Source organism: Homo sapiens, chromosome 21 (assembly GCF_000001405.40).
Source record: "Homo sapiens chromosome 21, GRCh38.p14 Primary Assembly".
Classification (NCBI taxonomy): Eukaryota; Metazoa; Chordata; class Mammalia; order Primates; family Hominidae; genus Homo; species Homo sapiens.
This window is the reverse complement of record NC_000021.9, coordinates 28,008,374-28,023,575: the sequence shown is the minus strand read 5'-3', so window position 1 is coordinate 28,023,575 and position 15,202 is coordinate 28,008,374. Positions and strand designations below refer to the sequence as shown.

General features: G+C 39.1%; 1 long non-coding RNA gene across 1 annotated transcript, besides 1 other annotated feature; it reads right to left on the bottom strand.

Moving 5' to 3' along the window:
* Positions 1-366: 366 nt before the first annotated feature.
* LINC00314 (long intergenic non-protein coding RNA 314) lies at positions 367-10,213 on the bottom strand. The gene is made up of 2 exons (NR_027246.1): positions 10,144-10,213; positions 367-879 (listed from the first exon to the last, which is right to left on the bottom strand). It is a non-coding gene; the product is annotated as a long intergenic non-protein coding RNA 314 (long non-coding RNA).
* Positions 5,231-5,397: a silencer, noted in NCBI's record as "fragment chr21:29390498-29390664 (GRCh37/hg19 assembly coordinates)". NCBI's record gives its function as "represses an EF-1alpha promoter that drives an FKBP-Casp9 reporter gene in an ReSE screen in K562 erythroleukemia cells {active_cell/tissue: K562}" and the evidence as "EXISTENCE:reporter gene assay evidence [ECO:0000049][PMID:32094911]".
* Positions 10,214-15,202: the final 4,989 nt, after the last annotated feature.

Below are 15,202 nucleotides of genomic sequence, written 5' to 3'. Positions count from 1 at the left end.
AAAAGAATGTGTTTTCCTCTGGGGAATAAGGCTGAGATGGTTCCGCTAGTGGGCCCTGGTCTTGCCTCTCTCTCCTGTACTTCACATTGGCAGAGCCTTTGAAGACAAAGGCAAGAAGGAGACATTCCTCAGCCACTCCACAAAGATAGTAACATCAAGTCATACAAAAGGAAAATTATTTAGTGGGAATCACACACATTTTCAATTCCTCTTTGATTTGCGTAGTAAGCGGGAATCAGTTTTGAATATATTTAATTGAAGAAGCCACTTCCAGAAGCCTTTTTAAGAATAATCCCCACGTTATTATTTTCCACAAATGGATATGAAAATAATTAATATGTGTTGAATTTGATAATTCCTATATTAGGCATTTATTTATTTGGATACAGGATCTTGCTCTGTCACCCAGGCTGGAGTGCAGTGTCACTATCATAACTTTTTTTGTTTTATTTTTAGTAGAGATGAGGTCTCACTATGTTGCCCAAGCTGGTCTCTAACTCCTGAGCTCAAGCAATCCTCCTGCCTGGGCCTCCCAAAATGTTTGTATTATAGGCGTTAAGTGCCATACCTGGCCCATAATTCTTATCTTGCAGAAGGCAGAATAATAATGATTTACAAGGATCATTGTCAAACATATTTTAAGGTCATCAACATTATTAGAATGTTAAATAACAGAATACATAGACCAAAGTATATACACAGACCAAATGTATGTGTTGCCTTGCACAAAGGCAAATGTGTCCCTTTTTTAGGGAGAGGGGGACATGACAGTGTGGCCAGGCAACCTCCTTCCATACAGTCTTCCAGGCTGACTGAGACACTTCCATCACTGCAATCTTCAACATTCCTCAGTCATCTGGTTATCCTGGAACCTGTGAACTAGAAGTAGAAAGAGCATGAGGAACATTTGCAGGACTTTTTTGTCCTGCAAATTTTATTAATTAAAGTGTGTAACATAGTGTTTTGATATACATAGGCATAGTTAAAACTACTACTGTCAAGACAATTAACATATCGTTCATCTTATATTGTTAACTTTTTTGTGGCTAGGAGCATTTAAAATTTACTCTCTTAGCATACGCTATTACCAGGTAGAGTCATCATGCTGTATATTAGATCCTAAATACAGTTATCCTAAGTAATTGCAATTTTATACCCTTTGTCCTATATTTTCTTATCTCCAACCCACTTTGTCTCTGGTAACTGCTGTTCCTACTCTCTATATCTGTTTATTGACCATATTTTTAGATTCCACACGAGAGAGATCACGCAGTATTTTTTGTATGTGCCTGGTTTATTTCACATAGCATAATGTTCTCCAGGTTATCTATGTTGTCTCAAATGGTAGGATCACCTTCTTTTGTTTAAAGGATGAATAATATTCCATTATATGATGTGCATATGTATATGTATCATGATATCTTTATCTGGCCATTCATATACAGATACTTAAGTTGTTTCTATATCTTGGCTATCAGGAATAATGCTGAAATGAACATAGGAGTGCAGATATCTTTATGAAGTACCGATTTCATTTTCTTTGGGTATATGCCCAGAAGAAGGTTGCTGGGTCATATAGTAGTTCTATTTTTAATTAAAAAAATTAATTTCTTATTTTGAGATGGAGTCTTGCCCTCACCCAGGCTGGAGTACCCTGGCATGATCTTAGCTCACTACAACCCCCGCCTCTCGGGTTCAAGCGATTTTCATGCCTCAGCCTCCCAAGTAGCTGGGATTACAGACAAGCACCACCATGCCCAGCCAATTTTTGTATTTTTAGTAGAGATGGGGTTTCACCATGTTGGCCAGGTGGGTCTTGAACTCCTGGGCTCAAGTGATTCCCCCACCTTGGCCACCCAGAGTGTGGGGATTACAGGCGTGAGCCACTGCGCCTGGCCCTCTATTTTTAATTTTTCGAGAAACCTCCATACTTCTTTCCATTATGGCTGTACCAATTTACGTTCCTACCAACAATACACAAGGGTTTCCTGAGAAAATCTTTCCTTTTTTTTTGGATGAAGATAGTGGGCTTTACTTGAAAAGAATGGAAGGATCTATTAGCAAAAAGTTGTATAAAATCCAAATTCGTAAAAACGTCTATAGGTCAGATATATAACATTCTTCATAATTAGTGATTAAAGACACTAGAATTTCATTTTAATTTTACTAAGACACTAATTTGAGAAACTGTGATACTCTTGTAAGAGATTCTGGGAATTAGCTCAAGGCCTATGCACACAATCTGCCAAGCTTCTACATCTTGACCTGATTTTGTGGCACTTTGTTATGTCTTGTCCATATTTTAGGGAGAAAATTACATGCTTTGTGAATTTGAGATTTTATAGAGGTCTCAGGATTCCTTCTGAATGCCCAAAGCCTACTGTATTACAGGTTTTGATATTTGAGGTAATTTTATGAATAGCGATATATTTAATCTTTTTTGGGGGGGAGGCAGGGACAGAGTTTTGCTCTTGTTGGCCAGGCTGGGGTGCAGTGGTGCGATCTCGGCTCACTGCAACCTCTGCCTACCGGGTTCAAGTCATTCTGCTGCCTCACCCTCCCCAGTAGCTGGGATTACAGGCGCCTGCCACCATGCCCAGCTAATTTTTTGTATTTTTAGTAGAGACTGGGTTTCATCATGTTGGCCAGGCTGGTCTCGAACTCCTGACCTCAGGTGATCCATCCACCTTGGCCTCCCCAAGTGCAGGGATTACAGGCGTGAGCCACTGTGCCTGGCTGATATATTTAATCTTGAATGGAATTGAAATTATAGAAAAAATATGTCACTGAGAGTATATTGCTGAACATTTTGCAAAGGGGGATGGGCAGTGAAAAGAAGGCACCATGAGAAAACAGTGTGTTAACTTGAGTCCAGGAGTCTGAAGCTGTAGTGCACTATGACTGCATCTGTGTGTGTGTGTGTGTGCGTGTGTGCGCGTCTGTGTGTGTCTGTGTGTGTGTCTCTCTCTCTCTGTGTGTCTGTGTGTGTCTCCCTCTCTGTGTGTTTGTGTTTAGAACTATATATGTGGCCAGGCACGGTAGCTCACGCCTGTAATCCCAGCAGTTTGGGAGGCCGAGGCGGGTGGATCACGAGGTCAGGAGATCGAGACCATCCTGGCTAACATGGTGAAACCCCGTCTCTACTAAAAAATACAAAAAAATTTAGCTGGGCGTGGTGGCGGGCACCTGTAGTCCCAGCTACTGGGGAGGCTGAGGCAGGAGAATGGCGTGAACTCGGGAGGCGGAGCTTGCAGTGAGCTGAGATCAAGCCACTGCACTCTAGCCTGGGCAACAGAGCGAGACTCCGTCTCAAAAAAAAAAGAACTATATATGTTACGTAGCATTTGTAGTGTCAGACTATATCTTTATTAAGTATATTTAAATGTGGTGGATACAAAAGTCCCACCAAACTTTATAGTACAGTTTCTTAGGGTTGAAAAATATACTCACTGTTTTCTATTGTCTACAAAATACACTGTAGTAACTGCACTCCTGTTTATTGGTACCAAAATATCTAAAGGATTAAAACTTAAGACACAAATCAAACATATCTGGGGAAGAAAACAAATTTCTATCCACATAAAATGTTTAGGATAGTGTTGTTTCATTTTTAAATACAGATTCCAGAAGGATTTTAAAGAGGAAGTTGAAGTCAACATTTTCTACAGTGACCTGCACAGTTACTGACCCACTTTGACAGAGCTACTGGGTACTCCACACCTAACTTACGTCTTGGCCCCTTGTTTCCTACTGTCTTGTTTCTTCTCTCCTAGTTACTGATTTATTTTACTCAGATCTTCAGGCTCAGCTGCTATCTTCTAGGGCATACATTTTTTCAATTCATACAATAATTAGTTAAATCAAGATATGACAGTCTATCTTTGACCTTATGCCTCCATCTTTTTGTAATTTGGCTTCTGTCCTGTCTGAAACCGTTCTAAGCACTATGGCTTACTTTTACTTTCATTTGATTCCTGTGATGGTAGCAGCCCTCCAGACAACCTGCCACTGCCATCACCCGGCTGGAGCAGGGAGGTGCGGTTGGGGCTGCCTACTGTGTGGAGCCAGGGGACCATGGACAAGCTGGAGCCCCACCCCTTCTGAGTTGGGGTGGTAGCTCCCCGGGTGCTGCTGCAGCTGCCCAAACCACAGCTGCATACACAGCCTCGCTCCGTGGAGCAGGCAGGAGTCCTGCCCCACTCCCAGGCACAGCTGCAACTGCCCAAACAGCGGCTGCAGACTCAGGCATCCTCACACTCTTGGAGGCCTGGGAAAACCTCCCTGCACTCTCGCTCAGGAAGGCCCCTGTCCTTGCAGGTTCGGAGGTGCCTGTTCTTGATGTCTGGCTTCTCTCTTTTTTTGTGCCAGGAGATAGGAGCAAAGTCAGGCAGCCTGGTTGCCTTGAACAGCAGGAGAAGGATGGCAGGTTCATGGGCAGAAGGGAGCAGGTCCCCAGTGAAGCCCCACCTTTAGGCCGGGGAAGGTCTGAAGCCTGGCGGCAGGCTGCCAGTTCTGAGGGGGATCTCGTGGTGCTTTTACATGGGCCTGCCCATGGCTGCCCATGTAACAATCAGCATGCCCTTCCCCGCTCTGAGGCCCATAGAAGCCCTGGGCTTAGCCAGAGCAGAGCAGAGCAGAGAAGCAGATAACCAGCTGCAGAGAGGAGCTAAGAGCTACTCTCTCTGCTGATAGCTGGAGAGTGTTGGGACAACCAGCGGCAGAGAGGAGCTTCCACTCCAGGGAGACCTGTCTGCAGAGGGGAGCAACCTAACCCAGGGCTTTCTACACTCTGCTGAGGGCTGAACACTCGTCCAGACACCTGGCTACAGAAAAGAGCTATCTACAGCAGGTCTCTGAGCTATTCTACTGCTCAATAAAGCTCTTCTTCTTGCTCATCCTCCACTTGTCTATGTGCCTCATTCTTTCTGATTGCAGGACAAGAACTCAGGGCCTGCTGAATGGCAAGTCTAGAAGAGCTGTACCACAAACGGGACTGAAACATGCCCTTTGCTCACCTCGTTGTGGGTGAAGAGAGGGAGAGAAGAGCTGCAGCCCTTGTAGGATCCCAGACCCGGGAGCTCTCCGAACTAGGGCTGTTAGTCCCTCTTTGAGGTCCTGCGGTTCCTGGCATCTCAGAGCTTCTGGGTGCCACCACATTCCCCAGTGCCAGCTGCTTGTGGGGTACCTGTCCAGCTGCAGCCTTGCAGAGAGCTGGCACCGATGCCAGCACCTGGTGCTGCCTGCATTGCAGTAGCTGAAGGATCTGACTGCGTAGAGGCTGGACCTCACGCTTGTTGACACACCCCTCGCCACTCCATGCCTAACTCACCCTTGGGAGGCATGGGATACAGGCTAGTAGCTTGAGCCAAGCACAGCCTGCCAGGCCGAGTGGGTGGAACGAGCCCAGCGGGCCGAGCAAAACTCAGGAAAAGGCACCACTGGAAAGAGGTTTTAGGCCAGAAAAGCAACACCCCCAAGGATCCCAAAACACCATTGTGCCTGAAACCCTGACTTGGTTGTCTGACTCAGTTTTCCTTGGCCAATCCCCCTACTTGAGACTAGACACACGTCCTCCATCTGTAATAGTGCTGGACCTGGACCTCAGCTCCAGCTATGTTAGAAGGTGTACGTTTCCTGAAGACTTCTCTGTGCCCATACCTCTATTCTGTCAGTCCTAGAGCCGCTGAGTGGTTCTGATTGATTTACAAACTGAAAAATTAAGCCAAAAATAATATCTAGGAACATCTCTCACTCTCTCACAGATTCCAGTATCCTCAGGATAAATTAAGTTTATCATAGCTTTTACTTAAGCAAGCAAGCTATATCAAGAACCCCATACATGCTTTGAAGTTCATCCTAAGTGTTATAGATTATGAAAATTTGCTGTAATAAATGTTCAGTGGATGAACATCTAGTACCTTTTACCCAAGCATGATTATATTTGGCCTCAGAATAAATAATACAGTCTTTTCCAACCTCTCAACAGTTGCCAAAGTGTAGGAAAGGATAAGATTAAGGCGTGAAATAATTCATGTGAAACAGTTCATTAGGAAATACATACTGAGCTTTGAAAACACTTTGTGTGTGCGTGTGTGTGTTTGTGTGTGAAAAAGAAAAACAAGACAAGAATAAAATTGTGTAAGGTGATTGAAGAAGGAGCACACTAATGTTCCTTTAGGTATCTTGCGTATATACACAAGATATAGAGAAAAGAGAAGGTTAGAAGCATTGTGGCATTTTTCAAAGAAGTAGATATTAGTTTCTTTGAAATTTTTATTACATTTTACTCTGGTCTCTTGTCTAGAATACATTCAAGTGCACATGTTTGCTGCTGCTAGAAGTTTGCCATGAAATTCAGATTTATGGTTACCCTGGAATAAATTACAAAGCTGCTTTTCAAATCTCACAAAAAAATAACATGATGACATAATTGGGTTTCTGATCCTGCAGCCCCTGAACTTCTGTTTGTGAAATGTTATTATGAAATCTTATTTCTCTGTGCTATGGTTTTCTCATCAGTCCTGTCCTAGTAGTCTCATTTCACGTTAAGCTGACTGATGAGATACAATAACACTCCATAAGGATACATTGCCTTAATTTTAATCTCAGATTATTTTGATTTGTAAAATGAATTTTCTTTATGTATTACCAGGTATTATGGTGAATTTTATGTGTGCATTTGGCTAGGCATCAGTACCCAGATATTTGGTCAAACATGATTCTGCATGTATTATGAAGGTATTTTTTAGATAAGATTAACATTTAAAACAGCTGAGTTTGAGCAATTACATTCCATTACATTCCAAAGCAGATTACATTCCATTTTGTTGGTAGGCCTCATCCAATTAGTTGAAGGCCTTAACAGAAAACTGCCTTCAAACTCAAACTGCAGCATCAACTCTTACCTGGGTCTTCAGCGTGCTAGCCTATCCTTCAGATTTTGGAATTGCTAGCTCTCACAATTTTGTAATCTAATTCCTTAAAATCTCTCTCTCTCTTTCTCTCTCCAGAATTATCAATAGGCTATATGTGCCTATATATATACATATACATACACACATGTATATATGTATATATACAGCTGTGTATATATAAACATGTGTATGTAATATACATACACATCTGTATATATATGTGTGTGTGTATATGTGTTTCTGTTTCTCTGGATGATATTAATACACCAGTCAAAATGTTAGCTGCATTATAAATATAAATGGTTCTAAATGCCTCTTCTAGGCAAAATTATTATCACTCAATGATTGTACTTTCCTCAATTTTTTATAAGCACACTGAATTCTTATATATTTTGGGAGAATGATGCTATATTTTCTTTATATTCATTAGCAGGTTAGTGTGAATTAACTTGTCCTATCACTTTGATTCAAGTGTTGGCCAGGAGAATTGGTTAAATTACTACTAAGTGGTTAGAAAAAGCTGGATATACAAAATGATTCCTTAGGAGAAAGAGGATCTCATATGAATGTTTTTCTCAGGTAATGGATTAGGATCAGGTTAGGATTAGGGATGGGAAGAAAACAAGACAGACTCTCTGTGTGCTCAAGTAAGCCACAGTGGAGAATTAAACCAACAAGCAAATAAAACCTTGACCAAAACTTTAGGAGAAAGGGGGAGTGTTAGATAGGCTTGATGTAGTAACCCACAATCTAGAATAATATCTCCTGAGAAAGTGATACACATAATTAAACAAAAAAGTATTTCCATGGAAGGCAATTGTGGTATGGTAAAAGGTAGTATTGACCCCAAACTCCAGATGTGAGTTATAATTCAATAAACTTAGGCAAGTTTTATTATTTACTCCAAGTCATAGTTTACTCATGTTTCATGCTAATATTAAGGCCCCAAGATTTTAAGAAAATGTGTCATGTAAAATATTCATTAGTTCTAAAATCTTGCTGTGAAACAGGCTTAAAAAAAGTATGTAGAGTTCTTTAAAAGTGTAGTCTACTGGACTCTACCTCAGAAATACTGGTTTAGAATCTCTGAGAACTGGTACCTCTAAACTATCTCTGGAAAACTGTCTTCAGCTAATACTGATCCAGTTGTTGAATGTATATGCCTTTGAAATGTATTGAGCTCTGAAATGTTTTGTTCACTAAATGGCCTAGAGATAATTCTCCATGAAAAGATGATCCTGAATGGGCGGTATGAATGAATGGGTCTTCATGCCTTCCTGTTTCTCTTGCCATCAAATGGCAAATTTCCACTATGTGAAGGATTCTGTGTGACACTATGTGAGATACAAGCCCAATATATAACAAGAGACAGCTTTCAAGAAGGTACTATTTTTCAGTAAGGCAATATAAATTCACAAATACCTATAAAACACAATGAAATACAGAAAATTGCATAATAGACACACATGGCTGATTTCTAAGTATGGTATCTAAGGGGATAGATACCAAGGAATGAAAAAGAAATGTCAATTTCCATGAATTTTTAAAATATGTGCAGCATGTTTATTGAGAGGATTCTGTCAATTGAAGAATGATGAGGTTCATAAATTTGGAAAGGAGAGACTTATTTCTTATAAAGGGTTGCAGCCTGCCTGGTGGCTATTCTTTTTCTTTTTTCCTTTTGACACAGGGTCTCACTTTATTGTGCAGGCTGGAGTGCAGTTGTACCATGATGGCCCACTGCAGCCTCAATCTCCCAGGCCCAGGAAATTCTCCCACTTCAGCCTCCTGAGTAGCTGGGACAGCAGGAATGCACCACCATGCCTGGTTAAATTTTTAAATTTGTGTAGAGATGGAGTCTCACTATGTTGCCCAGGCTGGTCTTGAACTCCTGGGCTCAAGCGATCCTCCTTTATCAGCCTCTCAAAAGGCTGGGCTGGAATTACAAGAAGATACATTCCTTCTTGTATTAGTAAGGAAAGAGTATTAAGAGCAAAATTTCCAGAGAATAATTTCATTTTAGGTAATAGGAAAAAAATAATGATGAATGTAGAGATATTTTTATTTGTAGGTAAGATCTTGAAGAGCTGAGAGAGTTTTTTATAGAGAAGCTGTAGTATATAGACTGTGAAGTAGAAGAAATTTTACATAGGGCAATATCACAAAGTTGATTATTTTTTCATAATTTAGTTTTGTTTTCTTAAATAGATTACAATATGGGTATATCTCATACTTTAACAGTCTTTCCTGTATACAAAGTATAAGATTTGTAGTTTTCTTGGTAAATATATAAGTGATTGAATAAAGTGATTGTATGGACTATTAAGAGAGGATTCATTCCTACCTTAGTAATAATTTCTACATAAGATACAGAAGTAAACACTTTTTATTTATTTTATTGATTCATATTCTGAGAAAGTTTCCTGTAGAAAGAGTTAAAGTGAATCTACTATATCAACCTTCAAATTTATAAGATATTTTGCATTTTCTAAATTCCTTGTAGATACTTAAAAAGATAACTTTTTCAAAATCAACCTATTTGTTTATAAATTGATAAAAACCTAGTCTTATGTGGTTGGTTTTTGCCAGGATATTCATAGGCCAAATAATATTTTAGTGAAAAAAATTCAAATTTATTAATGCTGAATTCAATCAAGATAAAAATTAGATGTAAACATCCTAAGTGTTATGGATTATGAAAATTTGCTGTAATAAATGTTCAGTGAATGAACATCTAGTATCTTTTACCCAAGTATGATTATATTTTGGCCTCAGAATAAATAATACAGTCTTTTCCAGCCTCTCAACAGTTGCCAAAGTATAGGAAAGGATAAGATTATGGCATGAAATAATTTACATGAAGCAGTTCATTAGGAAATACATACTGAGCTTCTATAATATATGTACTTCCAATAATTGAGAACAATACTTACAGCACGATAGCATTGTGTGGGCTTTTAGCCTTCATTTAACTTTTCTACTTCATTTAACTGGTATTGCTAGAAAATACTTTTACAATCTTTGGCTAATTAATAGTCTCAAAAATATAATGATGGATTCCACTGATGGATTCCACTGGGTATTCTAAATAATTTTCTGCTTGTTCTCTGCCTATATCAAGTCTACAGCAACGAAAACAGCCATGCAACTCCCCCTGCATATTAAATTAACATTAATTTTAGGAATTGAATAGATCTAGTAAATGATTAATATGTGCTAACCAACTTACCATTTTAGGGCAATATTTGCACATGGCTAAACAAATAGATCTTTGCAGAAGATAATGAGATACATGTCTGTTCTTTGCTTTCTTCATTGATTTGGATCACTGTACAATCATTAAGCTGAAGTCTATCTTAAAGAGGAGAGAGGGCTGCTGGCAGGAAGCCACTTTGGCAGGCTCTTCTATGTTGTGGTCTGTTTGGTTCATCCACAGAGACATGGATTAAGATAGAATTGTAGGAAATCCTATTGAGTAAAGGCCTACTGGATGAGAAAAGGGAAAATTAATTTAAGCCTCTCTACTCCTTCAACATAACCTTTTAAAATACTAGGTTACAGCATATTCATTTCACTTGTGATTCTGATGTAAGATACTAATGGAAATGACATTTGAAAAGGGACTGATGTGTGTATAAACTGTCACTGGCAGGTCCTAAAAGTACCTTTTCATGTGGGCATTCAGTATGATGACATTTTCCAGGTTATGAGCATAGATTAGAAGTTATGAAATTCAGAGCCTATAAAGGCATGTTCAATCTGTATCTCTTAGAGGGTAAAGAGTTCTGAAAACTTGATTTATGGAATAAAATATTAACCCAGGACATTGTTAAGGATATCATAATTTTTTGTTTATTGTTTTGATCTGAGGATGGAGGCTTAAAAACGTTTTTGTTTTTTCTTGGCCTGTATGAAATCCACTGCGATGCAACCCTGGGATAGTGAATTGGATTCCTTTAGCTCGTGTACCCAGCATCTTGGTCAGTCATAGATGAGGGTCCATCTGACCTAATAGTAATACTAATACAATGCATATGTGAGAGTGCAGAATGTTCAAAGCTCTTCCATCTATATCAACTATTTTCTCCTCTCACACAATTCTATAACTGGTCTCATTTTGTAGTTAAATCAACAGGGGATGAGAGATTTAAGTGACTTCTACAACATTATAGAGTCAGAAATGGAGCTAGGAGATGCATTAAGGCCTTTGAAATCTGCTCTTACACATATGTTTCCTAGTAGTGTCAGCTGTTGACCATCAAATGTATGTGTAGCTTATATTGTTCTCAGAAATTTAAAAAAAAGAAAAGGAAAAGAGAAAAGAAAAAGGAGGAAAAAAAGAGAAGAATAGAAAAGAAAGAAACAACTTTTGGAGTTTTGGCAGAAATATTTCTAGTGCCCTAAAATGAAGACAAGGCCTCAGATTCCAAGGGCACAGATGTGTGGCATGCAGTGAAGTGGCCACTAGCCAGACAGCCAAATCCCCATCCAGGGAATCCTCGGTGCTGGTGCCAGGGGAATAGAGTGGGGGAGGGGCAATAAATGACCAGTGTGCCCAATAAAATGAAAAGGCCAAAATGTTGCTTGCTCAGCTTAGCTTACTATTTTAACCAAAAGTTTGGAAGCCATAGCTAATGAAGGTATCCAAAAAACGTTTGAATAGTTGCTGTATGCAATAGCCTGGAAAATGAGAATGCAAAGACAAACAGAAGGAATGATACTGTGGGTCTATGTGTCCTTCGTGCTGCAATGAGAATAACTCAGCTCACTGGAAACTTCCAGGGAAGATGGCAACTTTCCAGGAGCAATTGTTTTGGGATTCTTTTCCCAAGTGTTTTTATATTTTAACAGGTCTAACAATTTTAGTCATGAATGAGAAATCAAGCAACAGAAATCTAGTGTAGAAAAATCACAATTAATATTTTTAAAGACTTAATATGTCCTCTATTGGCTTAGTAGTAGCTTGTGTTTAATTAACTCAAAATGACTTTAGACTTGGCCATGAAAAAAACTTGTATCTTTTCCACTTACTGCTCACTGCTAATTCATTTCTCTTTCTCTTTTCTTTATTGATGTATACGGTTGGGGAGGTTAAGGGTAGGAGAGGAATAAAAGGGCCTGCAATGTAAACGTTTTAGCCTGTAACATGAAAGGTACATTTTATGTGCTTTATTCATGATAAAAAGAACAAACAAAAAGAACAAGTTTTCATTTGTCATGAATAAAGCACATAAATTTATCATGAATAAAGCACATTTCATTTATCATGAATAAAACACATAAAATGTAAAAAATCCATTTTTTGTAATGAAGCATTGTTAAATGCCATGAATAGTTGAGAATGTTCAAGTCATTAATGACAATACATATCTTTAGTTGGTGTATTAGGCTGTTCTTGCATTGCTATAAATACATGACTGAGACTAAGTAATTTATAAAGAAAAGAGGTTGAATTGGCTCATGGTTCTGCAGGCTGTATAGGAAGCACAGTGACTTCTGTTTCTGGGGAAGCCTCAGGAAGCTTCCAATCACAATGGAAGGCAAATAGGGAGCAAGCATATTACATGGAGAGAACAGGGGCAAGAGAGAAAGAGAGTGGGGGTGGGGGTGGGGGAGAGGTGCCACGTACTTCTAAACAACCAGATCTCACAAGAACTCACTCACTATCACAAGGACACCACGAAGGGGATGGTGATAAAACATTTATGAGAATCCATCCCCATGATCCAAACACCTCCAACCAGGCTCCACCTCCAACAATGGGGACTAAAATTAGACATGAGATTTGGACAGATCCAAGTCATATCAGTTGGCAACAGTGTTTGGAATATATCTGTGCATAGGTACCTATAATCTATATATCTACATATCTATGTATCTATCTATTTATATGTGTAGATTGCTATATCTACCTATTTTTCTGTCTAATGGGTGGTTACAATGGATATTATCCATTATTTTCACTCTCAGGCAAAAACTAGATTTTATGCATATATTTTATACAGAAGTACTAGAATATCATCTGCTAGATTTGCTGAATTTGTAAGTACTGTTTTCCGTGAAGATAGTTGTCTGCCTAACAGGAGGTGGAAAGAAGTGGATGCTTTCTACTTCCTAACCCACCCCTGGTAGAAGGATGATGTCAGAGAATGCTTTGGGGACCACAGTGAGAGGATGCTTTGAAGAACTGAGTGTGGGTCCCTGGGGTCCAGGAAATAGAAACCAGTGCCAATCTATTGAGGTGTCTGAATAGAACTTACAATTCTGGCAGGATATAGGCTCGGGAGTACATAGAAGAAAAGGCAGAGCCTTCACTATGAACCCAACTAAAGGTGGCCACCAGGTAGGACTAAGCAAGTCCGAGTCAGGGGCTGCATGTTGATATGCACATGGAGCAGAGGCTGAGTGGCAGGATGTTTGCTGCGGAGGGAATGCCTCAGAAAACTGCGGGATGGCGATGCTCAGTGGAGAGGTTGCCAAGGAGCCTGGAAGGCACCAACAGGAGATAGTCAGCTGGAGGAACTGACCCCCAAGAGCGGTGACATTTGACTGCTCCAGTGTCAATGTACAAGTGAGGTAGGATGTGCCCCTTTCCCTCCCAGCCCACCTCTCCTGCAGCTCATTAAGTGGGTAAGAAATAGAAAAGTAATGAGGAAAAAAAAAGTAAAAAACATGCAAACACACACACAACACACACACACACACACACACACACACACACGCACACACAAACAGCCCAGGCAGGCTGACCCAAGTAGTGGCTAAGGCTGGAATTTGTAAGTGCATTTCTGCATGTGTGTGTGTGTGTGTGTGTGTGTGTTTATGTGTGTATGTGTGTGGGTATCTAGAATGTGTGTGTGTGTGTGTGCATGTAGAATCTTTGAAATGGATGTAAGATTAAAGTTTAGATTTGAAGTTTGACCTTGACTAACTTCAATGCCATTTGAGAAACCTCAGCAAACATTACCAACTATAAAATGTATGTTGTGACACATACATATCACTTGCTTATGAATAAGCCATCTAGATACTTATGCTTATTTGTGCTCTGAATATATATCATAAGAAATATGTGCATAAAACAAATTTTCATGCAATAAAATTGTGCGGCTTTTTTTGTAACTTGTTGATATTTATGATTAATGCTTGCCCATAAATGTGTACATTTAAAATGTAGTGAGAATTTTCAAATTGCATTCCTTTTTTTAAATTGCTAAAAACCCATTTTATGAAATTTGCTTAGTAATTATCAAAGAATTTTTATTCAAATATAATAATACTGACTTTTAAACAAGTTTTGCTGCTTTGCATTTATACTTTCATAGTATATATAAGTTTTAAACAAATCTCTCATCTACGCCGTTTCTAGTTTGAAGTATTTCCCACTATATTAAATATGATTTTTATGTTTCTTAAATATAATGCTTAGTGGTTTTATCCTTCGACCATAATGGCTATTAGATTTTTTAAAGGTGGAATAATAATTTTTAAATCATTTTTCACTAAACTAAACTAATGAGCAATTAGGATGTGAATTTTAGAGCTAGCTGGATAATGGACATGACTAATCAGGGAAGACAGAAGAAAATGAAAGGCTTCAAAATACACACACAATCTCTTCACCATTATGCAACTATTCATTCATAGGTATCCCATCAATGAATCATGAGGCAAGAGTTGTTCCAGAAATGAGGAAAAAAATATATGTCAAGACCATTGCCTACAGTAAAAGCTTGTATTTTCCTCATTAACCAAAGTTTGTTTGAATTCAAAGCTCACTCACTTATTAATCATTATTTCCTGGGGAGAAATATGGAATGAATTTGATTTTCATCTACATTTGATTAATGTTTCCTAGTAAAACCACATTTTGCTAAATTCAAAATGTATCATTTGAAACTTCTTGGTTTTCTTTGCTCCTTTTTATCTACGTCAATGATGTCATTAACATATTTCACAACTTAATTTTTTTTATAGAGGGAAACATATGCCAAAGAAGCATGTATGCAAGTCCATATTACATCCATATTACACCCCCTTGCACCTTATTTTCCGTCTGAGTAGTTCTGATTCCTTTATCTACTGACAGAGTGTGGACAGTACCTCTAAGATTTCATTTTAGGCAATGTGTCTGCTCTCTGAGAAACAGGACAGCTTGAAGCACTACACTAGAAGGAGGCAGAAGTGCTATTACACAGGCACTGGCTGCTGATTGCCAAGAATCACCAGGGGCAGGGGATGAGACATGTGGAATTGACAGGTGGCGAGAGATTATTGCTGTTCTGCAA